Raw genomic sequence first — 27,842 nt, forward strand, 5'->3', positions numbered from 1 at the left:
TTTAACTGTACCTATAATATGAAAGAATTGACATGAATGAGAAGCTGGCTTACTATTTTAATTACTAGTTACAGCTTCTCTTAACTTTTACAAGGGACAAAAAGCAAAAAAAAACACCTTGATCAAAACCAGGTTAGTCAACCACTGTACTCTTAAACTACCTAACATAAAGAACTGAAGCTTTGATTCTGTTCTGTCCTAAAGAGGTACATCATATCATATTGACCTCAACTCTGTAGAACTTTCTTAAAATGGTTAAAAGACTAAAGCCCTCTAGGATTAACTAGAGAAAGCAATATGGCTCTGGCCAACATGTCTATAGTCATACTAAGCATTCTAGACATTGAGATAGTCATATAACCACCAATAAAAAGGTTAAAGAAATAAACAAACCTGAAAAACCAAATGTTTTCTTTTGTTTGTTTGTTTGGTTTTTTTTGGAGACAGAGTCTCACTCTGTCACCCAGGCTGGAGTGCAGTGGCGTGATCTCAGCTCACTGCAACCTCCGCCTTCCGGCTTCAAGCAATCCTCCTGCCTTGGCCTCTTGAGTAGCTGGGACTACAGGTGCATGCCGCCACTCCCGGCTAATTTTTTGTATTTTAGTAGAGATGGGGTTTCACCATGTTGCCAAGGCTGATCTTGAACTCCTGAGCTCAAGTAATCTGCCCGCCTCAGCCTCCCAAAGTGCTACGATTACAGGTGTGAGCCACCGAGCCGGGCCAAACCAAATGTTTTCTAGAGTAGCATAAATAACTGATTCACCATACTTTTTACACACTACACTGTCAATTCTAGTATAAACTAAGGACAAATCAGATAAACTAAAGTATTACTCAACATCAAACGAAAATGTCACCGTGAATGGCACTGTTAACTTACAGCAAAGGAAATAAACCTGAATCACTGATCAAGGATATCAAATCTGGATGATGCAAAGTAAAAATCAATTATAAAATCTCAGGCCACTGCTTCCTAAATGGCCAAGACCCAAATCCAATTCAACACTTTCATTAAATCCAGTTCTACCAGCTTCCTGATGCATGATCCTACAGGGATATGCTCTTGGTTCCTTTGTCTGATATCACTTGGAATAATGCCTTGGCACTCAGACCTAATGAAGGAAGGTATACCATATCCTTGTCCATTTGGTTTCAATTCAAATGCACCCACATTTACATTTTCCCCCACCATACCCACATTTCTTAGTGAATAATTACTGGGGCCGGATGCGGTGGCTCACACCTATAATCCCAGCACTTTGGGAGGCCAAGGCGGGAGGACTGCTTGAGGCCAGGAGTTCGAGTCCAGCCTGGGTAACATGGCGAAACCTTGTCTCTACAAAAATTACAAAAAATAGCTGGGTGTGGTGGCACGTGCCTGTGGTCCCACCTACTATGGAGGCTGAGGTTGGAGGATCACTTGAGCCCAGGAGGTTGAGGTTGCAATGAGCCATGATTGCACCACCCTACTCCAACCTGGGTGACATAGTGAGACCCTGTCTCCAAAAAAAAAAAAAAAAAAAATTACCACTTAAAACAGGTAACGATCTAAATCCGAGGGGTATTCTTAGTCTCTGCTGACACATCATAAAGGACATTTCATGAAAATCTGGCATTATAATATCTGGTCCTCATTTCTTTTTTTTTTTTTTGAGATGGGGTCTCGCTCAGTCGCCCAGGCTGGAGTGCAGTGGCACTATCTCAGCTCACTGCAAGCTCCGCCTCCCGGGTTCATGCCATTCTCCTGCCTCAGCCTCCCGGTAGCTGGGACTACAGGCGCCTGCCACCACCCCTGGCTGATTTTTTTGTATTTTTAGTAGAGACAGGGTTTCACCATGTTAGCCAGGATGGTCTCGATCTCCTGACCTCGTGATGCGCCCGTCTCGGCCTCCTAAAGTGCTGGGATTACAGGCGTGAGCCACCGCGCCCGGCCAATATGTGATCCTCATTTCTTAAATGACTGAAAAAAAAAAAAAAAAGTACTTCAAGCCCAGCACAGTGTACCGCTCAGGAGTCCCAGCTACTTAAGACGTTGAGGCAGAAGGACTGCTTGAGGCCAGGAGTCTGACTCCAGCCAAGCAATACAGTGAGACTTGGTCTGTCAAAAAAATAAATAAGTGCTTCAGCACCAGCGCTAGCTAGAGATTAAGGAAGAAGCTACACAGTATGATTTCTAAGAAGTTCTGAAAGGCCTACCTAAACTTTCCCTCTCACTTGTCTAGCACTCCGCCTCTCTTCACTCATTTAATCACTCCTAGAACACAAATGCCTACAATGGAACTGAATATACTAAAACTGTGGCACTGAGGGGTAAAATCTCAAACAATTAAACATATTAGCTCCATGGGAAGAAGGGTCCTTGGAGGAATGAACACTGATTTAGCCTTGGTGTGTGCCAGCAATCCCGCTAAGCTGCTTTACATTTCTCACTTAATATTCACATTCCTAATATGCAGGGTCTAAACCACTGCTTCTCTCTCCAAGCTGTTTCAAAGAAATGTAGGGAAGGGAAACCAACCTTAAGTACCTACTATACAGAAGGTACTTTGCTATCACCTTTAACATACTTCTGTTTCACTGGGGAAATAAGCAGTTACAGAGACAAACTGACAGTAGCCTGGAGAGACACAGGGCATAAGAAGGGCAGACTCATATACTATATATACTGTAGTATATACAGCATACTATATATAAGAAGGGCAGACCCATATACTATATATACTGTAGTATATACAGCATACTATGTATAAGAAGGGCAGACCCATATACTATATACACTGTAGTATATACAGCATACTATATATAAGAAGGGCAAGGGCTGGGCACGGTGGCTCACGCCTGTAATCCCAGCACTTTGGGAGGCCGAGGCGGGTGGCTCACGAGGTCAGGAGATCAAGACCATCCTGGCTAACATGGTGAAACCCCGTCTCTACTAAAAAAAAATACAAAAAAAGTAGCCGGGCATGGTGGCAGGCACCTGTAGTCCCAGCTACTCAGGAGGCTGAGGCAGGAGAATGGCGTGAACCCAGGAGACGAAGCTTGCAGTGAGCCGAGATCGCGCCACTGCACTCCAGCCTGGGCGACAGAGCGAGACTCCATCTCAAAAAAAAAAAAAAAAAAAAAGAAGGGCAGACCCATATACTATACCCATATACTATACTCATCTTAGAGTGGCAAATTAGGTAATCTGTGTGTAGTTTGTGTCTTGTGTCAAAAAAGAACCATATTGGGGAGATTCCTCAAATTATCACAATTTTCCTAAGGCCCAGTCTTGATCTCTATATATAAAAATGGAAGTGGACTAAACAATAAGATGTAAATTCCTAAATTTCCTGGATATCTCTAGGCCAGGCACGGTAGCTCACGTTGGTAATCTCAACACTCTGAGAGGCTGAGGCAGGAGGATCACTTGAGCTCAGGAGTTCAAGACCAGCCTAGGCAACATAGTGAGACCCCATCTCTACAAAAAATAGGAAAATTGGCCTGACATGGTGGCATGCACCTGTAGCCCCAGCTGCTAGGGAGGCTGAGACAGGAGGATCACTTAAGCCTGGGAGGTCAAGGCTGCAGTGAGTCATGATCACACCACTGTACTCCAGCCTGGGTGACTGGGTGACAGAGAGAGAACCTATCTAAAAAAAAAAAAAATAGGCCAGGCGCGGTGGCTCACGCCTGTAATCCCAGCACTTTGGGAGGCCGAGGCGGGTGGATCACGAGGTCAGGAGATCGAGACCATCCTGGCTAACATGGTGAAACCCCGTCTCTACCAAAAATACAAAAAATTAGCCAGGGGTGGTGGCAGGCGCCTGTAGTCCCAGCTACTCAGGAGGCTGAGGCAGGAGAATCGCTTGAACCCGGGAGACAGAGCTTGCAGTGAGCCAAGATTGTGCCATTGCACTCCAACCTGGGCGACAGAGTGAGACTCTGTCTCAAAGAAAAAAAAAAAAACCCTTTGCTCAAATGTATACAAACTTATCAAATAGATATCAGTGACAATACTCAAATACAAAGTTTAAGAAAACATGGACAAAGGTTTTTTTTAGATTGAATACTCATCTGACTGCTTCAAATATTTTATGTACATATGTATATATGAGTACAGATACCTTGGTTTAAAAGAACCATCAAGTTACCTAACAACTGAGAGTTAGCAAACGGGGTATTTAATCTCCCCATCTATACAGTCGACCCTTGAACAACATGGGTTTGAACTATGCGGGTCCACTTATACTTGGCTTTTTTCAACCAAACTCAGATGGATAATCCAATATTCTTGGGATGCAAAACTCACCTATGTATAGATTTGGTTATAAGCAGGTGGTCCCAGTATCCCTCGTGCATACCAAGGGACAGCTATTCTAGAAGCCTATTTTGTAGGGCTTTTTCTAAGCCTTAATTGATTTCAGGAGTATTATGGACTAAATGCTGGTTTCCCCTACAATCCACATATTGAAGCCCTGACCCCCTACCCCCAATGTGATGATATTTGGAGATAGGGCCTTTGTGAAATAATTAGGGTTAGATGAGGCCATGAGAGTGAGGCCCTCAGGATGGGGTTAGTGCTCTTTACTTTGTTTTTGTTTGTTTTTTTTGAGATGGAGTCTCGCTCTGTCACCCAGGCTGGAGTGCCGTGGTGTATCTTGGCTCACTGCAACCTCCACCTCCAAGGTTCAAGCAATTCTCCTGCCTCAGCCTCCCGAGTAGCTGGGATTACAGGTGTGTGCCACCAGGCCCGGCTAATTTTTGTATTTTTAGTAGACACGGGGTTTCACCATGTTGGCCAGGCTGGTTTGAACTACTGACCTATGGTAATCTGCCCTCCCTGGCCTCCCAAAGTACTGGGATTACAGACTTGAGCCACCATGCCCGGCCGGGGTTAGTGCTCTTTATAAGAAGAGACACCAGAGAGCTTATGCGCTCTCTCTCCTCCAACCCCATTGCACACAAAGAAGTCATGCAGACACACATAGATGTCAGCCACCTACAAGCCTAGAGAAGAGGCCTTAAAATAAAACATACCTTGCCAGCACGATGATCTTGGAATTCCAGCCTCCAGAACTAACTTTCTAGAAATAAATTTCTGTTGTTTAAGCCACCAAGTTCATGGTATTTTATTATGGCAACATGAGCTAACAAGGATACAGAATGTTAAATATCACTAAGTGCCCCTGTTTTATGGAGAGAAAAACTGAAGACCAGAAAAGAAAAGTAACTTGGCTAGGTCTAATCATTTTTTCTCCAAAATTAAATATTTTTAAAAATCATTTGTTTGACATCTATTCTATTGCTTAATAGATTTTAACAAATTACCTGCTGTTATAAAATGAAAGGAACCAAAATAAATTCAACTGAATTTCAAGTTCAGAAAATAATCTGCTTAATTCATTGCAAATAATGAAATGATCTCACTTCTGCTACATAATGTCTTCATCATACAAATTCCAACAGGATACCTTAGCTCACTAACTGAATACTGGGGGAAGACAGCTTATTTCGTAGTGAGCTCCAGTATTCAGAATTGCCCTTTTAGTTTAATTCAGTTAATTACTTTTTAATTAAATAACAACCACAACAGTTGGTAGTTTCAACTACAAAGCCAATAATTCTGTCCTATCTCTTGAACAAACTATATTATCAATTGTTTGATCCAACTGGCTCTCTCACTGAATCTGGGCTTTCCCTCTAGGCCTGTTGGGTTTACAGAGGGGATAAACAGCTCAGCCTTGTGTGCCTTGCTTATGACTGATTCTTAAAAATCAAAATATTACTCTCATTCAAAATAACAGTATAAAAGCAGCTTCCCTGAAATACAAATGCATCTCAAAGGTTCTATTTATACATAGCACCACATGTAGTTTGCACTCACAATTTCAGGCCTTTCTTCCAAAGCTTGCGTACAGCTCTTTAATTTTGCCAGGTATGTTTCATTAAATACCATATTATGACTTTCCCCATTCAGAAACCAACTAGGCTTCTTACTGAGAAGATAGAAGGAAAACCTAATTATCACTGCTTCAATGCATCTAAATTTATTTCATTACCCAAATCAACAGAGTAGGGGCTAGCTGCTGTTGCAGAAAGGCAGACGGATATGGAGTATAAACTGCGCTTTCCTCCATTCTTCCTTCCCCTACCCCACCCCTCAAAGTTCCATGGTTGGAAATCATCCTAACATTTTTTCATCCTAACATTTTTTTAGCCAGGATGTACTAAAATTAGATGGGAACAAAGGCCTGACATTTTCCTATTAGCAGAAGGGTTAGGAGGAAAATGTGAACTGACAGCACCCACACTCTTCTACATTTAGCCTCTTCCTCCCAACAGTTCTCTCCTCTTTGCAGCAGTAAGGCAGGCAAAGCTGGGGAACTACAGCCATCCCAATGCCATTTCGATTCTGCTATCATCAATGATAAGCTGCCTGATCTGTAATATATTAATGAAAAATGAGAAATACAGTTCACAGTCCCCTTATTCAACCAGAGTGTTTTCATATTTTTTCCTAAGCTACTCAGAAATATACACGATATGCTAATTGCTGGAACATGTGTAAATTTTTACATATTTGGGAAAACAGATGTATTAGATTTGCTTTTCTTAAGATGCTTCCAGCTACTATGAACAATAAAGATCACTCATTAAAATACTTATCATTTGTTGATACAGTACAGTAATAAAAATACGTACGTAAAAATATAACATGGAAGAATTTATCTTTTCTCATCTCTTCAGGAAACAAAGAAATCATTTCTTTTGAAAACAAAAATGTAGATTTTGGCTTTTTATTTCTTCTTCTAACAAGCTAGGCAAGTAATTTGCAAATACTTTAGGGCTCAACTGATCTCCTAGTTTAAGTCTCTTTTACAGTGGTATCAGCATGACAAAAGTACATTCTGCCAGCCTATACATTTCAGTTTTTGAAGTCCTACTCCAGAAAAGCAGGATAGGATATTGATACATTCATGTCTTAGGAATTATTCCTATCTTTTTAAGTTTATTTCCCTGGGCCTAAACTATAGTGACAGCTCAAAATTCAGCTAGAGAAGTCCTTTTAATGATCAGTCTAATACACTGTGTTGCAAAAGATTTTTAAAACTCAGTAAGTACTGACTCAAGCTCTCTTTTTTCCTGGTTACTGGAGCCCATCTTGACATCTAAGCTGGAAATGAATGATCGTTCAACAACACTCCAGGGATTTTGCTAAGGTCATATTCAATCATTCATTAGGCTTCTTACCCGTCGCTTTTCAGAGTTCCATTGTAGAGCTGGTTTTATTCAGCATTTATGTAGCCTGTGGGCTTGGGTATTTGTCTGCTTGATGTTGAGTTTCATTTCTATGCCCTGAACATAGGAATCCATCAATTGACCAAAGAATTTCAAACTATTCTTTTACTTTTCTAACAAATTGCATGGTGTATATGAAGAATAAATTAGCATTAATTTTCTTCCATTAACTGTTAATAAAACATGCTGATGAGCTCCCTCTTCTTCTATGGACATCTCTGTTTCCTGCCTAACCAAGAGAAATGTAAGGATTTCCTAATTTTTTTCCCCACTATGCAATTGTCTTTCAGCCATATATGCTCTTCACCTCCCACAATCAAGCTCTAGGTCATGGGCAGCCTTCATTCAGTGAAATGTACGAGACAAGACTTCTTTCAGAGCCCATCAACACTCCCTCCCACACACACACACACACACACACACACACACACACGACATTAGCTAAAGAGGTTACTACTGTGGAACACAAGACACTTGGTCTCATACTCTCAAAGCAGAGGGCTGTCCAGGAGCACATACACGTTAGCTTACAGAGCCAAAAACAGGAAATCAAACCCCAGGGCTCTCCCCTGGAGACAAACTGTTCACATTTGTACAGATTTTCATTGTAGGCTACCAGACAGAGACACACACACATACACACACACAATTCGTAAAATAAAATTACTTAAAAGAACATAGACGAAAGTCATTAACATAGCAGGGATACACTATTTCTTTGTATACCAATTTGAAGAAAATTATTTCAAGGCCATAAGAAACTTAACTACTAATATAAGTTCCTTAAAAATTGAGGTTTCTATTATACTCTGGATAAATGTGAATTGAGGTCAACATACAGTACCACATTACAGTATCATAGAAATTTTAAAATAAGTAAGTCCACTGAAGCACATGATTCATAAAAAGACTAAAAGTCTTTTGTATATACTTAGCTCCCTTATTTCTTCAAAAAAAAAACAAAAAAACAAAACCCAGAAGATTGCATGCGTACCACAGATGAAGAAAAAAGGAAAATTCAGTGCTACTACAATGGGAAAAAAATCATTCAAGGACAATTTGTACTTATTTTTAAATGGCTTTAGTCAGGCTGCCAAGAGTGATATCAGGTTTGATTCTCACATACATAAATGCCAGTCCCAAAAAGCAACTCTAACTTGTGCACCTGGCTTAAAACAAAATGTACTGAAAACTTTGTATTTGTTAATTGGGATAACCCACCCATTCAGGCCTCAATTCCCTTTGGACTTGCACACGCACTTCCTACACACAGAAGTGGCCTGTTATGCAGCAATAATCATAGTGAAAAGCAGCAATTCCGTGAAGGCTCCACAGAGAAATCGCGTTTGCATTTCAAACAAGTTTCCTCAAAGTAAGCGTCTTTCGATTAAATGAAATCACAATTCCAGCTTCTTATCCACAGAAAACAGCATTCACTATGTAACTTACTGCTTTTTATAAGTGCATAATTTCTGTCACAGTTACCCACATATTTATACAATTTAACAATACTAAGTTAAATAATGTATTTATGGTTTGTTTCAGGAACCTGGTGACACTTGCTGGCCTGGTTTTTACAGTTTGGTATTATGTGAAAATACTAATTTCTTATTAGCATTTTTGGACCTTCCATTTGTTCTGGTTTTAGTCCCTAAGAAGCTAGCTTCCAGCAGGATTAGAGTAATAAGAAGAGATGACAACTTCCTTTTCCTAACCTTATCAAAAGCTCTATGGTTAAAAAAAAAAAAAAAAAGAAAACCTTCACCTTTGCAAATGGCACTAACATGCCCCAAATAGTGACTCGAAAAGCTTTTCAACAAAGAACCATTCTAAGCTTTTTGTGAATCAAACTCAACATCTCAGTCTAGTCACACAGAAAGCCTAGTTTGTAGGATTAGCACATTAAAATAGCATATACTTAACTCAAAATTCTAAGAGTACTTATCTATGTTATATTTGAAATCAAAGAATATTAATGTGAAAAAAAACAAAGACCCGATCTCAAAAACTATAAAAGTTTCTACAGTTTAAGATCTCCTGTCTTGGTAAAATCAACACAATCTTCTAAAAAATTTAAATTGCATATATTTTGAAGTAATTTCTCACTTTTTACATGTTGAAAATAAAAGCTTTTCAAAAAATGTTATTTTTGTTGACAGTCCACATACATGTCTTCAACTATCTTGTCTTAATGGTTGATCAATGTTGATCTAAATGAAAAACTCACTCCTCTGGCTACCCCTCCCCAAAAAGAAAAGGGACGTAATGTTAGACTTACTCAATACAGGAGTAACATTTGCCAAACAAAAAGTCACTTATGTAACCCAATAGGCCCACAAAGCTGAAAATCATCAAAAAATTATGCAAAAATTTGTATTTAGCTCCAATATTAAAATATTACCACAAATACAAAATGGTATTAAGTATGAATATGACTTATCTTTTCAAAAACATTAATAAACTGTTTCTCTTGCCAAATTAGCCCCTAACTAGAACATCTTTGTGCATGTATCGCTGAGGGCTTATATAACTTACACTACCCTTTCACAGAAGAATGACAAAATTCTTAATAGAGGCAAGTCTTTGAGTAGGGAGATGGGGAAAAGTAATGAAGGATGATATGAGACAGAGTTGGCTGACTGCTATTCTGATACTCCACAGATGAACACTAATAAAGTAACTACCCATCTTTTCTAACTGAACTTTATATGTAATCATCATGGGTCTCCAGCTGTACTGTAAATGCTACAAAGGCAAAGACTAAGCACCTGTGAGGCAGAATATGCTAGGAGAAGAGTATGTGTTTTAAAGTCAGACAGACCCAGATAAAAATCCTGGCTCCATCCTGTACTGTTGAACCTCATAAAAGTGACTTCACTTCTCTCAGCTTCATTTTCCTTATACGTAGAAACAAGAACAAGCAATACATACCTCAAGAAGACATTGAAAGGACTCAATTACTTAATAAGACAACTTAACATAGCGCTAGCAAATAATAACATTCCTTAGTTCTCTTTCCTTCTACTACCCTTACAGTGTGTAGAAGACCATAGCTGCAAAATGCAGGCTTGATAACTTGAGCAACTGATACATTTCTCTGATTTTGTTTAATTATATACATAAAGGTAAGAGGCCTTTTCACAGGTATTAATTAAGTTTAAAAATAACCGCCATCCAACACAAAATAGTATTTCTTGTTATATTTCATAAACAGTCTAACAAAACACTAACAAAGTTATTTTGCTTATTATTCTGATGCTGGAATAATTTGGTCAAATATTCATAAATAGTTATCAACTTTACCAAGGCACAAAAATCAAGAATACATGCTTTCTATAAACTCATTTACTACTTTAAAGTTTTTAACTGTTTAGCAGTTATAGGAAATTTTTTTAATCGAAAAGAAAACTATTTACATTTCAAATACAAAAGAAAATTAAAATTATTCTTGATTGATCTCTAAAACCCAACCACTTAGATGCTCATTATTATTATTTTCTTTCACCAATCCAGTATACTCTATTCAACATGTGCATCCTGTGTACTTACTAAGCATTTATTTGCACAAGGATTTTCTGTGTCAGGTTAACTTTGCTGTGTAGATTCTGTGTAGCTACCTGAATTCGTCCAAGAAAAAGTCTCACATTTTTTGGAAAACCAATGCTGCTACACTGTTTCCAGATCTGCCTCCAAAGCTGAACTTGGGTGTTGGTAGCTCTTCGAGAAGTTCAAATCCTGTCAGACAAAATTTAAATACTTTTATTAAGAATTGAGTCTCATACTTACATGTATTTATATGCATGCATTAACACTGTACCATTGAACCCTTTGTAAAACTATGATTCCAAACTCTAAATTGTGCTGAATTTCACTTCATGATTTTTCAATTCTACTATGTATGTACAGCATATGTATGCTCCTCCAAAATCACTTTGAATTTAACAAGGAAAAGACAAGACCAAAAACAATTTGGAAAAAACAGGCTTTCCATCCACCTCCCATTTCCTCCACTTCCTGTTTGTCATCTCTGCAAAGCTGTATCTCTGTTAGCCTCTATCACCTGGTTTGTAGGAAGCAGCTAGCATGTGTCGAGTTTTTTTGTTTGTTTGTTTGCTTTTTGAGACGGAGTCTCACTCCATCACCGAGGCTGGAGTGCAGTGGCACAAGCTCAGCTCACTGCAACCTCTGCCTCCAGAGTTCAAGCGATTCTCACTTCAGCCTCCCAAGTAGCTAGAATTACAGTTATGCACCACCACACCCGGCTAATTTTTCATATTTTAGTAGAGACAGGGTTTCGCCATGTTGGCCAGGCTGGTCTGGAACGCCTGATCTCAAGTGATCCACCCACCTCAGCCTCCCAAAGTGCTAGGATTACAGGCGTGAGCAACATCGCCTGGCCCTGTGTTGAGTTCTTGCTAAGCGCCAGGCATTATTTTGAGTGCTTCATATGTAGTAATCTAATTAATTCACACCACACATATTAAAGCACTTAATACAGAAAGGCAAAATAACTTGGAAATATAAATGAATTTGTAGAAGATGAAAAAGTTCTGGAGAAGGGTAGTGATGACAATTGCACAAAAAAATGTAAATGTACTTAATACCACATAAGTATACACTTAAAAATGGTTATAAAATGGTATGTTATGTGTATTTCAGCAGAATTAAAAACAGTAATTTATAACAAAGATGAAGACTCAAACTAAACGAACTAATAAAGGGCCTGGAAGACAAGGAACTAGTAACTTTCAAAGCATCACAGTATGGTTTAAAAAAAATTAACTTGGCGTCTAAAATCCTAGGTTCAAATCCTAGGTTCAAAAAATTAACTTGGAATCTAAAATCCTAGGTGAAGTCTCAGCTTCAGCACTTACTAAATGAGACAGGCTGTCAAGTTACCTCTACCATGATCCTGATTTCTATGCACTTTCTATCACTTAAGGCTAGGTATTCAAGACCAGCCGGGGCAACATGGCGAAACCCCATCTCTAAAAAAATACAAAAATAAGCCGTTGTGGTGGCCTGTGCCTGTGCGCCTGTAGTCCCAGCTACTTGGGAGGCTGAAGTGGGAGATGCCTGGATGATGGAGGCTGTGGTAAGCCGAGATTATCCCACTGCACTCCAGCCTGGGCAACAGAGCCAGACTCTGTCTCAAAATAAATTTTAAAATTAAAGTAAAATAAAACGCCAATCAAGGTTTTCCCTCATTGATGGACCTATTAGTTTTGGAATATTTTTTTCTTGAGGCAGGGGTGGGGTTCTGTATTTTTCTAAATTTTCATGCTTTGAGCTCAAATAACTCTTATAAACAGAAAAAAATGTTTTAAGTGATGTATACTGGCCGGGTGCAATGGCTCAGGCCTCTAATCCCAGCCTTAAGCTACTAACGCCAATGCGCCACCCCACGCCATCAAATTCACTGTGATTTTGTAAAGATCCAAATAAGGTAATGTAGTGTTTTCCTAAACTATGAAATAAAATGTTATATTATTTTGCTTTTAAAAAATAAATAAAGCTGGAAGGTCACTTACTAAAATGCCAACGAGGGCCTGGCATGGTATAATCCCAGCACTTTGGGAGGCCAGGTGGGAGAATCACTTGAGCCCAGGAGTTCCAGACCAGCCTGGACAACATGGCAAAACCTCGTCTCTGCTAAAAATACAAAAATTATCCAGGCATGATGATGTGTGCCTGTAGTTCCACCTACTCGGGAGGCTGAAGTGGAAAAGATCGCTTGAGCCCAGGAAGTCAAGGCTGCAGTGAGCCAAAATCCTGCCACTGTACTCCAACCTGGGCAACAGAGAGAGAGACAGACCGTTTCAAAAACAGAAATAAAAATTATATTATTGCATCAATTGGTCTATCATACTATTTCATTATACATCCTAATTCATGTTATCTAATTTCACCAAATCATAATAACCGAATATTATAATGCTTATTAAAAGCTTATCGTAAGAAAACTTTTCCAAATTATGACATTCCTTTTAATAAAATAATATGATGTTTCTTAATGCTGGAAAATGCAGGCATTGTCCTGGATACATGCATAGTTATACACCCATATTTGTTTTCAAAAATTTTACAAATGCTCTGGATATTTAATAATAAAAATTTTCTGTCTGTATAAATTTTCCAGGACTAACTTTTCAACTCCCTGAACTAACCCTACAGAATTGGAGTTATTATATTTCAAAATAGAATATACCAAAATATTAATAGTGGTTGTACTCCACTGATGGTAAACAAATTGTCTTAATTATTTTAATCTGTATGCTTATGTGTTGACGTTATTGATATTTTTCAATTATTTAGATAATAAATTTGAATTACTTTTTCTTTTAAAGGATAGCTCCCCAAACCTGAATAGATTCAGAAAGACTCCCTTAAATTGCTTCTGAAGTAAGATGGGTGGTTATTGTTTTCATTCATTCACTGTCATAAAGTCAAGTCCCTTCGACATCAAATTAGAACATGGGCAACTGGTTCCAGGTAACCCTCACTAAAAAAATTATAACACAAAGTATTTGTACAATCAGGGGTATCATGGAAAAAATGCAAGATCTGTTTCAACAATTTTATGAACATTTATAGTTCAAATAAGAAAGAACCTTAAAAGATTGGTGAAACAAGCTTTATTTTATGCAAAGAGAATGTGGCAGCCAGTATGAGTAGTCAGGAACAAGACCTTTGGCAGTGACGCAAGGCAGTGTATTCTGTTACTGTCCCATATCTAACTCCAAATACCATTTTCTAAGGGACTCATGCCTAAAAAATGTTTTCAATTGTATATAATTATTTATATAACATTTCCCATTATAATATTTTGCTTAAATTCTGTATTTTGTTCTAAAATTGAACATAGTTTACTTAATAGTTTTCAGACAAAGACACATTTTTAAGTACTCTAACCAGGCTAAAGTCTGTTCCTCATTATCAAAGACAGACAAATATGTTTTTGTCTGCTGGTTCTAGGAGTAAAAAAGAACACCTGTATTTAAAAACCAGGAAAGAAACTTGCCCTACACAGTGTAACTTTGAGCATTTATTAAAACTGTCAAAGTTCAGGAAGAGGAAAGACTTATTGATACAGGGCCTCAACAGTTCTAAAGGAAACAAATTTAACATGGAAGATAATAAAATAAATGGCATGAAAGAAAAGACAATAAATCACATATAATTCTTGTTTTCCAGAGGCAATAGTAATGAAGCCATAAGCTCATATTTCAAGCCTCAAACACTTCAGGTTTTACATTATATAATCTGTCAAAGCCATTGAACACACACAAAAGGACATGTATTAAGTGTTCTCCCAGCCTGTTCCCTTAATACTAAAAAGAAAACAAACTCTAAAATAAGGTATATGCAGTACGGTTATAAATAATGGTACACAGTAAACTATTCTCTTGAGGTAATTCACTTTCCATTAGCTTGTGACAACTGAGGTTCAAAATTTAACCAAATATTGAGTACCATATTATTTACCCAAGACTCCATCCTGAAAATTTATCCTATCCTTTAAAAAGTGCAGGATCAAAAAAAAAAAAAAAACAAACTAATCTGAAAAGGATTCTAAGAAAAAACAAGCAAATATCTGTAGATTCTCAAGATACTTTCCCAGAAATGCCTGTGCACTACATAAAAAACTGGCAGATAAAATATTTCTTACAAAATGCAAGGAACAGTCTGCCAGAGAACTCAAAATATTTTGTGTATAGATTACAGATTCTCAGTTCTCACAAGATCTCCACTAAGTAGATACTGCACTAATTACACTTTGCTAACTAGGCAAAAAAGGATCCTGCCTCAGCACTAGAATCTTCTATCAATTCCCTACATTTTAATTCCGTGCAATCTTAAAAATAATTGTTCTATATCCTCTGAAACCAAGAACTGTTCTATCATCTCTGAAGACCTAAATGACCGCTAGTGCAAGACAGCTAAAGTATCTATAATATCAAAACTCTCAGCATGTAAGACGGAAGTACTTCTTCCATTTGCATTATTATGGATTTGCCAGTAAATCAGTGCACTGAAGCCAGAAGCACAATATATGTGCTTTTTGTTTGATTCTATAAATAATAGATTATATACCTTAAATAAAAGATTGTACGACTCAAATAGAGAACTTAAGTTTTTCTCTTTTTTTGTTTAGATGTGTCTCACTCTGTCACCCAGGCTGGAGTGCAGTGGCACAATCTCGACTCACTGCAACCTCTGCCTCCTGGGCTTATGCGATCCTCTCACCTCAGTCTCCTAAGTAGCTGGGACTACAGGCACGCGCCACCAATCCCAGCTAATTTTTTGTATTTTTAGCAGACACAGGGTTTCGCCACATTGCCCAGGCTGAGAACTTAATTTTTACAGGCTCATAAATGTTAGTACTTAACTGCCAAGATTTCTCAGAAAAAATTTTAAAAGATCTCTGGATCTCAACCAATGTTATTTCTCTGTGCTTTGCATATACAGTCAAAAGTTATTGTCAAGGTAATTAACAGAGAAAAAAGCAGGCAATTCCCACAAATAGAAAAGTAAAACACTATAACACAAAACGGGGAGAAAACCTATTTAAGTACATGAAACCTGAGGTAAGCACACATTTAAACACCATATAGTCACTTACCTTCACTGAATTCATTTAGCAACTCTTCCTTGGTCCAATTACATGACGTTATTAGAAAAAAGCCTTTTACTTTCAACACCCTGGAGAGAGATTTCACATATTGCTTCCTCTTCTCAATTGCATTGTCAGGATTAAGGCTTATGGCATCAAAAGTCCCTTTGTCAATACAAATATGAAATCCAGACAGCTGTGTGGAGAGATTCAAAAAGTCTTCTACCTATATTAAAAGTCAATGTCTATGTGAGAACAATTAAAACAAAATCCTTACAGAATGTAAGTGACAACCTGTAAAAGGTTATTAATAAAAGGACCCATTAATTATAATGGCATTTTACATATAATAAACATATTTTCAACTTTATAGCTAACTTTTATGAGCTTCAGTCCAAGATCATTAAAGCCAAGATTAATAAGAGAGACTGGTATTTCCTGAACATTCCAAATCTCTACAAATTTGGAAACAAATCAAAGCTAGCCATATTCCCTAATAATACCAGCACATTATGGAGCTCACAAGCCTAGTTTATGAAAAACCTGTTTCTGTCAAAAAGTAGAAAATTTGACATATTCTTAAAAATGACAATTTATTTGGAACTAAGTTCACTGGAAATAAGATTTCTTGAAGACAGGAGTCTTGCTATGTTGCCCGGGATAGACTTGAAAACCTGAGCTAAGCAATCCTCCCATCTCAGCCTTCCTAAGTAGATGTGGCCACAGCACTCAGCTATGGGAATAAGATTTTTAACTTATATTCCTAGTGTGTAACCTAAAATAAACACGGTAGATCAAAAGTTCTTGGGCCTTGGCTGGTCTGAGTGCAGTGGTGTTTACAACTAATCGATCAAAACCAGTTACAAATTTATTCCTTCCTTCTCTATTATCACTGCTTCACTTGACCAGCCTTTAAAAAAAAAAAAGAATTTCTTGGGTCTTGACTAAGCAGCTTACGAAATTACTAATGGATATAATGAATGGCATAAGGCTTAAGAAATTAAATAACTGTTAAACTGTAATTACTTCAGTTGGAGGTGTGAAGTCATACATCACCATCTCATTCACTGTTAATAACCTGATGCATACTAAGCATCGGAAATAGCAATCCGCCTCAATTTTATAAAATATTCACAATTTACCAATGAAAATTCTGAAAACTCATTTTGAAAAAAATAATTAGGCAATTAGCTCACAATTATTCACACACATTTAATACAGCAATTGTAAATCATGTTTAATCTAAAACTCTATTGACTTAAAAATGTATATATTATGTTGATGTATATTGGAAGGTGGGTCTTCTCCCTTCCTTCATGTCCAAAGTATTCATTATACCTGAAGCAAAATAATGACTATCACTCTGAAGAGCTAACTTTGAAGAGGCTTCCTCATCCTAAATGCCTATATAAAAATACTCATCTATTCAGCAAATATTTTGTGGACATCTATTGTCAGGTACTTTTCAGACCCTGGATATAACAGTAAACAAAACAGAGCCAGGCGCAGTGGCTCACGCCTGTAATCCCAGCACTTTGAGAGGCCAAGGCAGGAGGATCACGAGGTCAGGAGATCAAGACCATCCTGGCTAACACGGTGAAATCCTGTCTCTACTAAAAATACAAAAAATTAGCCAGGAGTGGTGGTGGGCGCCTGTAGTCCCAGCTACTCGGCAGGCTGAGGCAGGAGAATGGCGTGAACCCGGGAGGCAGAGCTTGCAGTGAGCCGAGATCACGCCATTGCACTCCAGCCTGGGAAACAAAGCTAGACTCCATCTTAAAAAAAAAAAAAAAAAAAAAAACAGTAAACAAAATAGAAAAGGTCCCTGTATGAAAACATACCTTATATTGGCCGGGCGCAGTGGCTCACGCCTGTAATCCCAACACTTAGGGAGGCCAAGGCAGACGGATCATGAGGTCAGGAGATCAAGACCATCCTGGCTAACACGGTGAAACCCTGTCTCTACTAAAAATACAAAAAATTAGCCGGGCGTGGTGGCATGTGCCTGTAGTCCCAGCTACTTGGGAGGCTGAGGCAGGAGAATTGCTTGAACTGGGAAGCAGAGGTTGCAGTGAGCAGAGATCGCACCACTGCACTACTGTCTAGGCGACAGGGCGAGACACTGCCTCAAAAAAAAAAAAAAAAGAAAAGAAAAGAAAAGAAAGAAAATATACCTTATATTCTACAAAGAGAAAGATAAAAGATAAATAAGCTAAATAAGTAACTTCAGATAAAGTGCCATGAAGAAAATAAAGCCAGAGAAATAAGACATTAAGTGACTTGGAAGAGAAACAGTTTGGAAAAGAGTAGAAACTTTTCTTGGCCAGGCATAGTGGCTCACACCTATAATCCCAACACTTTGGGAGGCCGAGACGGGTAGATCACCTGAGGTCAGGAGTTCGAGACCAGCCTGACCAACATGGACAAACCCCGCCTCTACTAAAAATACAAAAATTAGCTGGGCGTGGTGGCGCATGCCAGTAATCCCAGCTAATCGGGAGGCTGAGGCAGGAGAATCGTTTGAACCCAGGAAACGGAGGTTGCGGTGAGCCGAGATCACGCCATTGCACTCCAGCCTGGGCAACAAGAGTGAAACTCCATCTCAAAAAATAAAAACAAATAAATAAATAAAGTTTTCTCTAAGGTGTTATTTGAGCAAAGATCTGAATTATGAGAATGAACCAAACATGCTAAGATCTGGGGCAAGAATACTCTAGGCAGAGGGCAGCAAGTATACAGACTCAAAACAAGCTTGACATGTTTCAGGAACAGAAGAAAAGCCAATGTGACCGAGTATTGATGATAAACGAGGAAGAAGGTAAGAAATGAGGGACTTTGTAAGGCTGGATGAGGTTCAGAATCTATTTACAATGCAATGGGGAAGTCAGTTCAGGATTGTGAGCAAGGAAGCGACATGAACAGACATTTTTAAAAATCTGGCCAGGGCTGAACACAGTGGCTCATGCCCATAATCCCAGCACTCTGGGAGGCCAAGGTAGGTGGATCTCTTGAGGTCAGGAGTTTGAGACCAGCCTGACCAACATGTTGAAACCCGGTCTCCACTAAAAATACAAAAATTAGGCCGGGCGCAGTGACTCACACCTGTAATCTCAACACTTTGGGAGGCCGAGGCAGGCAGATCACCTTAGGTCGTGAGTTCAAGGCCAGCCTGAGCGACGTGCTGAAATCCCATCTCTACTAAAAAAATACGAAGAAAATTAGCTGGGTGTGGTGGTGCATGCCTGTAGTCCCAGCTACTTGGGAGGCTGAGGAATGAGAATTGCTTGAACTCAGGAGGCCGAGGTTGCAGTGAGCCAGGATGGTGCCACTGCACTCCAGCCTGGGCAACAGAAAAAGCCTCCGTCTCAAAAAATAACAAAGAAAAAATCACTCTGGCTGCCCTGTGGTAAAAGAACATCAGAGCAGCATGAGTGGAAATGGAGGGGCAAAATCAAAGGCTACTGTAGTAGTTTAAACAAGAAATAATGGTGGTTCGGACTTCACAGGGAGCAATTGAGATAACAAGAAATGATCACATTCTTGATATATTTTGAAGATAAAACTGGCCAGAAGCAGTGGCTCATACCTGTAATCCTAGCACTTTGGAAAGCAGAGGCAGGCAGATTGTTTGAGGCCAGGAATTCAAGACTAGCCTGGGCAACATGACAAAACCCCATCTCTACAAAAAAATTAGGTGTGGTGAAGCAGGCCTGTAGTCCCAGCTACTCTGGAGGCTTTGGTGGAAGAATCACTTGAGCCCAGGAGATTGAGGCTGCAATGAGCTGTAATAACACCACCGCACTCCAGCCTGGGCTACAGGGCAAGACACTGTCTCCAAAAAAAAAAAAAAAATATATATATATATATGTGTGTATAAATAAAACGAACAGAATTGGATATAGGACTTTAAGGAAAAAGAAGAATCAAGGATGACTCCTTGGGTTTTGTGTAAATGCAACAGGGTAAATGGGAGTGTTATTAGTAGAAACGGGAAAGACTGGGGAAATCAGGTCTGAGGAGGAAACCAAGAGTTTCATTTTGGACTAATTAAGTTGAGAGACTATTAGCTTTCCAAATGGAAGTTTTGAACAGGCAGATTTTACAAGCATCCCTCAGAGATATTGCAAGTTCTGTTCCAGACCAACACAACAAAGCAAACACCACAATGAAGCAAGTCACACAAAATTTTTGGTTTCCCAGTGCATATAGAAGTTATGTTTACACTGTATTACAGTCTATTAAGTGTGCAATAGCATTATGTCTTTTTAAAAAATGGGTGCCTTGCCAGGCATGGTGGCTCGCACCTGTAATCCCAGCACTTTGGGAGGCCAAGGTGGGTGGATCACCTGAGGTCAGGAGTTCAAGACCAGCCTGACCAACATAGTGAAACCCCATCGCTACTAAAAATACAAAAATTAGCCGGGCATGGTGGCACATGCCTATAATCCCAGCTACTCGGAGGCTGAGGCAGGAGAATCGCTTGAAACCGGGAGGCAGAGGTTGTGGTGAGCCGAGATCACACCATTGCATTCCAGCCAGGGCAACAAGAGCGAAACTCCATCTCAAAAAAAAAAAAAAAAAAAAAAAAATTGGGTGCCTTAAAAAATACTTTATTGTAGGCCAGGAGTGGTGGCTCATGCCTGTAATCCCAACACTTTGGGAGGCCAAGGTGGAGGGATCATCTGAGATCAAGAGTTTGATACCACCCTGGTCAACATGATGAAATCTCGTCTCTACTAAAAAAATACAAAAATGGCCGGGCGTGGTAGCTCACACCTGTTATCCCAGCACTTTGAGGGGCCGAGGCGGGTGGATCACAAGGTCAGGAGTTCAAGACCAGCCTGGCCAATATGGTGAAACCCCATCTCTACTAAAAATACAAAAATTAGCTGGGTGTGGTGGCGGGTGCCTGTAGTCCCAGCTACTCGGGAGGCTGAGGCAGGACAATCACTTGAACCCAGGAGGCGGAAGTTGCAAGTGAGCCAAGATCACACCACTGCACTTCAGCCTGGGTGACAGAGCAAGACTCCATCCCCCACAAAAAATACTTTATTGTTAAAAAAACACTAACAAGCCATCATCGAAATCATGAGTAAGTCATAATCTTTTCTCTGGCTGGAGGGCCTTGCCTCAATAAGGATGCCTGCTGACTGATCAAGGTATTGGTTGCTGAAGGCTGGGGTAGCTGTGAAAATTTCCTAAAATAAGACAGTAATAAAGTTTGCCGTATCGACTGATTCTTCCTTTTATGAAAAATTTCTCTGGAGTACATGATATTGTTTGATAGCATTTTACACACAGCAGAACATCCTTCGATATTGGAGGCAATGCTCTCAAACCTTGCTACTGCTTTATCAACTAAGTTTATGGAATATTCAAAATCCTTTTTCAACAATGTTCACAGTAGATTCCATCTCAAGAAACCACTTTCTCTGGTCGTCCACCATAAGAAGCAACTCCTTATCTGATCAAGTTTTATCAAGAGACTGTAGCAACTCAGTTACACCTTCTGGCTCCACTTCTAATTCTAGTTTGCTACTACCACTGTATTTGCAGTTAATTCCTCCATTGAAATCTTGAACCTCTCTCCAAGTCATCCATTAAGGTTGGAATCAGCTTCTTCCAAACTCCTGTTAATGTTGATATTCTGACCTCCCATGAATTATAAATGTTCTTCACGACAGGCAGAATGGTGAATCATTTCCAGAAGGTTTTCTTTTTTCTTTTTTTTTTTTGAGACAGAGTCTTGCTCTGTCGCCCAGGCTGGAGTGCAGCGGCTAGATCTCAGCTCACTGCAAGCTCCGCCTCCCAGGTTCACGCCATTCTCCTGCCTCAGCCTCCCAAGTAGCTGAGACTACAGGCACCTGCCACCACACCTGGCTAATTCTTTGTATTTTTAGTAGAGATGGGGTTTCACCATGTTAGCCAGGATGGTCTTGATCTCCTGACCTTGTGATCCGCCCACCTTGGCCTCCCAAGATGCTAGGATTACAGGCGTGAGCCACCGCGCCCAGCCCATTTCCAGAAGGTTTTCAATCTACTTTGCCCAGATGCATCAGACGAATCACTATCTATGACATCCATAGCCTTATGAAATGCATTTCTTAAATAACACATTTAAGACTGTAAAGTCGAAATTACTCCTTGATCCATCACGGGCTACAGAACAGATCCTGTGTTAACAGGCATAAAAACAAGATTAATCGGCTGGGCATGGTGGCTCACGCCTGTAATCCCAGCACTTTGGGAGGCCAAGGCAGGCGGATCACCAGGTCAGGAGATCCAGACCACCCTGGCTAACACGGTGAAACCCCATCTCTACTAAAAATACAAAAAATTAGCCAGGTGTGGTGGCAGGCACCTGTAGTCCCAGCTACTTGGGAGGCTGAGGCAGGAGAATGGCATGAACCTGGGAGGCAGAGCTTGCAGTGAGCTGAGATCGAGTCACTACACTCCAGCCTGGGTGATAGAACAAGACTCCGTCTCAAAAAAAAACAAGATTAATCTTCTTATATATCTCCATCAGAGCTCTTGGGTGAATTCATGCATTGTCAATGAACAGTAATACTTTGAGTCTTTTTCTTTTGGGGCAGTAGGTCTCAAAAATGGGCTTAAAATACTCAGTAAACCATACTGTAAACAGATGTGCCGTTATCCAGGCTTTGTTGTTCCATTTATAGAGCTCATGCAAAGAAGATCTAGCATAATTCTTACGGGCCCTCAGATTTTCGGAATGGGAAATGGGCATTGGCTTCAACTTAAAGTCATCAGCTGCATTAGCCCCCTCTAACAATAATGTCAGCCTCTCCTCTGAAGATTTAAAGCCAGGCACTGACTTCTCCTCTCTAGCTATGTAACTCCTACATGGCATCTTCTTCCAATATAAGGCTATTTCATCTCCATTGGAAATCTGTGTGTTGTTTAGCCAGCTTCACTGGTTATTTCCTAGCTAACTTGCTACACCTTCTACCTTCTACATCAGTACTTAGTGCTTTATCTTGCACTTTTATGTCATGGAGATGGCTTCTTTTCTTTTTCTTTTTTTTTTTTTTTTTTTTTTTTTTGAGATGGAGTCTCGCTCTGTTGCCCAGGCTGGAGTGCAGTTGCGCGATCTTGGCTCACTGCAACCTCTGCTTCCCAGGTTCAAGCGGTTCTCCTACCTCAGCCTCCCAAGTAGCTGGGATTACAGACACCCACCACCATGCCCAGCTAACTTTCTGTATTTTTAGTAGAGACAGTTTCAGCATGTCGGCCAGGCTGGTCTTAAACTCCTGGCCTCAGGTGATCCTCCCACCTTGGCCTCCCAAAGTGCTAGGATTACAGGCGTGAGCCACTGTGTCCAGCCAAGATGGCTTCTGTTCTTAAATCTCATGAACTAACTACTGCTAGCTTCAAACTTTTCTTCTGCAGCTTCTTCACCTCTCTCAGCCTTCACAGAATTGAAAAGAGTCAAGGCCTTGCTCTGGATTAGGCTGTGGCTTGAGAGAATGCTATGGCTGGTTTGATCTTCTATCTGGAGCACTAAAACTTTCTCCGTAACAGCAATAAGGCTGTTTGACTTTCTCATCATTCATGTGTTCACTGGAATACCACTTTTAATTTCCTTAAAGAAATTTTGTTTTGCATTCACAACTTGACTAAATTTTGTCACAAGAGGCCTAGCTTTTGGCCTATCGCGGTTTTCAACATGCCTTCCTCACTAAGCTTAATCATTTCTAGCTTTTGATTTAGAGTGAGAGATGTGTGACTCTACCTTTCAACTGAACACTTACAGGCCACTGTGTTGAGGTGGGGGTTGTTTATTTTTTATCCTTGTTTTTTTATTTTTGTTTTTTGAGACGCAGTCTCCCCGTCACCCAGGCTGGAGTGCAGTGGCACAATCTTAGCTCACTGCAACCTCCACCTTCCAGGTTCAGGCAATCCTCCTGCCTCTGTTTTTTTTTAAAACAGTCTCCCTCTGTTGTCCAGGCTGGAGTGTAGTTGGGACTACAGGTGCCCGCCACCACACCTGGCTATTTTTTGTACTTTTGGTGGAGATATGGTTTCACCATGCTGGCCAGGCTAGTCCCAAACTCCTGACCTCAAAGTGATCTGCCCACCTCAGCCTCCTAAAGTGTTGGGATTACAGGCATTAGCCACTGCGCCTGTCCCACTGTAAGGTTTTTAATTGGCCTAATTTCAATATTGCTGTGTCCCAAGAAAGAAGGAGGCTTGAGGAGGAGGGAGGAAGATAGGAGACCAGCCAGTAGGTAGAGCAGACAGAACATACATTTATCAATTAAGCTCACCATCTTACGTGGGCACAGTTCATGGCACGCCAAAACAATTACAATAGTAATATCAAAGATCAATGATCATGAATCACCATAACAGATAAAATAATAATGAAAAGCTCTGAAATATTACAACAATTACCAAAATGTGACACACAGATACAAAGTGAGAACATGCTGTTGAAAAAATGGTGTCAACAGATGGGGCTCAACAGGCTTGCCACAAACCTTTGATTTGTCAAAAAACATACCATTTGGGAAGCCAAAAAAACAGGGCATGCCTGTCTATAACTCTAGAGCTGAGAAGAGAGGCCTGGGCTAGAAATGTAAATTTAGGAATCATCATCTCACAGATCATAGGACACAAAAATAAACTAAATGATTTTTGGTGACATTATACCACTTGATGCATTTAAAACCTTTTGATGTGGGCAGGGCGCGGTGGCTCACGCCTGTAATCCCAGCACTCTGGGAGGCCGAAGCGGGCAGATCACGAGATCAGGAGATCGAGACCGTCCTGGCTAACACGGTGAAACCCCATCTCTACTAAAAATACAAAAAATTAGCTGGGCGTGGCTGCAGGCGCCTGTAGTCCCAGCTACTTCAGAGGCTGAGAGAGGAGAATGGCATGAACCCAGGAGGCGGAGCTTGCAGTAAGCCGAGATGGCGCCACCGCACTCCAGCCCTCCAGCCTGGGCAACTGAGCGAGACTCAGTCTCAAAAAAAAAAAAAAAAAAAAAAAAAAAAAAAAAAAACCCTTTTGATCTGGTTAATCCATAGTTAAGTATTATGTGTATTTGCAAACATCAGGAGCAGTAGTGTATGAACAAACATACAGAAGAAAAAATAATTTCCCCAAACCAACTAGATTAAATTTTTAATATGGCTATTTAAAAATGTTTCAATTTGTATTATTTATGATTGATCCCTAATTTATGAGTTTAAAACCTGTCAATTAATATGCTCTAGAAACATTTAACCTCTATTGTAAATATTATAGTAATATAAATAATAGTTACCTTTAACTTAATGTTAGATAAACCTTCTTTTTCTATAATACTTCCAGAAAGCTGAATTGCAGAAGGAGAGTAATCAATTCCAGTAATATTAGAGAAACCAAATTTTGCCTAGAGAGAAATAATTTTATACTTTAGTATAAAATTTTAATATAATGTTTTGTTTATGAATTATAATATTCCTTTAGGACTGGTGATGTCTTATTTTTGATGTAGAGAAAATGACATATAATCCAATTCATAATGCTTAAATTTTATTGTAGACTCTAAATAAAAACTGAAAGTGTATATACTATGACAATACCTTTGTTTTCATAATATTTTATCTCTTTTTCAAAAGGAAATTCATGTTCTCAAAAATAATGAAAATATATGTATAAGCCCTCAGGCAAAAAAAGGTAACATTAACTTTTGATGCTGATAATTTCCAATTCACACATAAATTTGTCATATATTTTACTTAACCCAATTAAATTATATTAACAAAATCAATGCAAATGTAATAAGCTATCAATTTTTAAATTTTCCCTTCAGTGTAATTATACATTATGCAATTCTCCACCAGCCATGTGATTTTTAACCATTCTACATTTGTATACTACTTTTACGTCTTTAAAAATATTTCATACATCCCATTAGATCTTTACAGAAAACCTGTGAGGTAGGGTGGGCAGGTATCAGTATCCCCAAGAAGTTTCTTTAACTCAATGGACTTGAGAGTTTTGGTGTTTGCTAGCCATTAACCCATCTAGGCTGTGTAGTGTCTATGGCAAAAGCATGGAAGCTTCTGGTCTTTACACACCCCCTAACAACACTAAACATTTTTAGACCAATGAGACTAAAAATAATTTCAAAGGAAACATGAAAAACAAAGTAAGTTACAAAGTACAGTATAGCCTGAAATTCCCTTCCTGCTCTTCACCATTTACTAAATGGTTACTTCCTTTAAAACTTAACCTACTGCCACATCAAATCCATGAAGACCTACCAAGTCTTTTTAACCCTAAGTAACTGATTCCTAATCTAAACTCAAGGAACAAGTATACCAATTACTTTCTACAGGTAGATTGCTCCCTTTATTTTTGTTTTTAATCTAAAGGTCTAATATTCTCTTTTTTGATGCCAACCTTCCACCCTTTTAGCTGTATCCCTCCTTATTCCTTGAGATTTTCTCCCCATTTCCCTTAACTGCTTCTCTGGGAGACCTAGAACCCAGGATGAGTCTATTAACTGATTCTTACCGGTTCCTTCTTTTTTTTTTTTTGAGACAGAGTCTCGCTCTGTCGCCCAGGCTGCAATGCAGTGGCACGATCTCGGCTCACTGAAAGCTCTGCCTCCCGGGTTCACACCATTCTCCCACCTCAGCCTCCCAAGTAGCTGGGACTACAGGCGCCCGCCACCACGCCCAGCTAATTTTGTTTTTGTATTTTTAGTAGAGATGGGGTTTCACCGTGTTAGCCAGGATGGTCTTGATCTCCTGACCTCGTGATCCGCCCACCTCGGCCTACCGGTTCCTTCTTTTCCCATGCCTGTTTATTCTTCTAGTACAACTTATAAAAATCACAAATAGATGTTTTAGGTTTCTAGAGATATCACTCAGGGCCTCAAACTATCTCCAATGTCTTTCACATTCAATTTCTGGCACCCAAAAATGAGCAGACATTCAAGGAAACAACCAAACCCAAGGGGAGAAATTGACTTTAGAAACAGACCCGACAGGAGACCCAAATAAATGAATTTTCAGAAAAAGATTTCAAAACAACTGACAGAAATGACAATGACAAGTGGGAGAATTCTAGCAGAGAACTGAAAACCACAACAGAGAAACAAACAGGGCCAGACACGGTGGCTCACGCCTATAATCCTAGCACTCTGGGAGGCGGAGGCAGGCAGACCACCTGAGGTCAGGAGTTCAAGACCAGCCTGGCCAACACGGTGAAACCCCATCTCTACTAAAAACACAAAAATTAGCCAGGCTAATTTTGTGGTGGTGAGTGCCTGTAATCCCAGCTACTCGGGAGGCTGAGGCAGGAGAATTGCTTGAACCCGGGAGGTGGAGTTTGCAGTGAGCCGAGATCATGCCACTGCACTCCAGCCTGGGCAACAGAACAAGACTCTTGTCTCAAAAAAAATAAAATAAAAAATAACATAATTGAAAAATACAGTAATTAGGAAGTTCAAGGGTGGGCTTGATAGCAGACTACACACAGCAAAAAATAAAAAAAAAATCAGCAAAGAACAGTCAGAAGAAAATATCCCTGTTATACACAGAATGACAAAAGAATGGAAAATTAAAAACAGGAAAGAATATCAAAGACATAATATGGGCCGGGCATGGTGGCTCAAGCTTGTAATCCTATCATTTTGGGAGGCCAAGGCAGGTGGATCACCTGAGGTCAGGAGTTTGAGACCAGCCTGGCCAACACGGTGAAACCCCTCTTTACTAAAAATACAAAAATTAGCTAGGCATGGTGGTGGGCACCTGAAATTCCAGCTACTCAGGAAGATGAGGCAGGAGAATTGCTTGAACCCAGGAGGTGGAGGTTATAGTGAGCCAAGATCGCGCCATTGCACTCCAGCCTGGGCTACAAGAGCAAAACTCTGACTCAAAAAAAAAAAAAAAAAGAAAAAAAGACAGAATATAGCACAGAATATAAG

The 27,842-nt window shown here is 39.6% G+C and overlaps 1 protein-coding gene across 4 annotated transcripts in view; it reads right to left on the bottom strand.

The window, feature by feature from the left end:
* Positions 1–6,765: 6,765 nt before the first annotated feature.
* The window catches only part of EEF1AKMT2 (EEF1A lysine methyltransferase 2), a 35,635-nt gene continuing 14,558 nt past the window's right edge, over positions 6,766–27,842 (bottom strand). For 2 of the 4 annotated variants that reach the window (NM_212554.4, NM_001304467.2), the window contains exons 4-7: positions 25,188–25,295; positions 15,905–16,121; positions 12,813–13,071; positions 8,347–11,016 (exon numbers count right to left, since the gene is read on the bottom strand). In NM_212554.4, coding sequence (NP_997719.2) covers position 11,016; positions 12,813–13,071; positions 15,905–16,121; positions 25,188–25,295 — 585 coding nt within the window. In that variant the 3' untranslated portion in view covers positions 8,347–11,015. Of the gene's footprint in view, positions 11,017–12,812; positions 13,072–15,904; positions 16,122–25,187; positions 25,296–27,842 lie in introns of all 4 variants that reach the window. The other 2 variants (NM_001416243.1, NM_001304468.2) reach the window with 2 other exon arrangements.

The sequence above is a fragment of the Homo sapiens genome, chromosome 10 (assembly GCF_000001405.40).
Source record: "Homo sapiens chromosome 10, GRCh38.p14 Primary Assembly".
Lineage (NCBI taxonomy): Eukaryota > Metazoa > Chordata > Mammalia > Primates > Hominidae > Homo > Homo sapiens.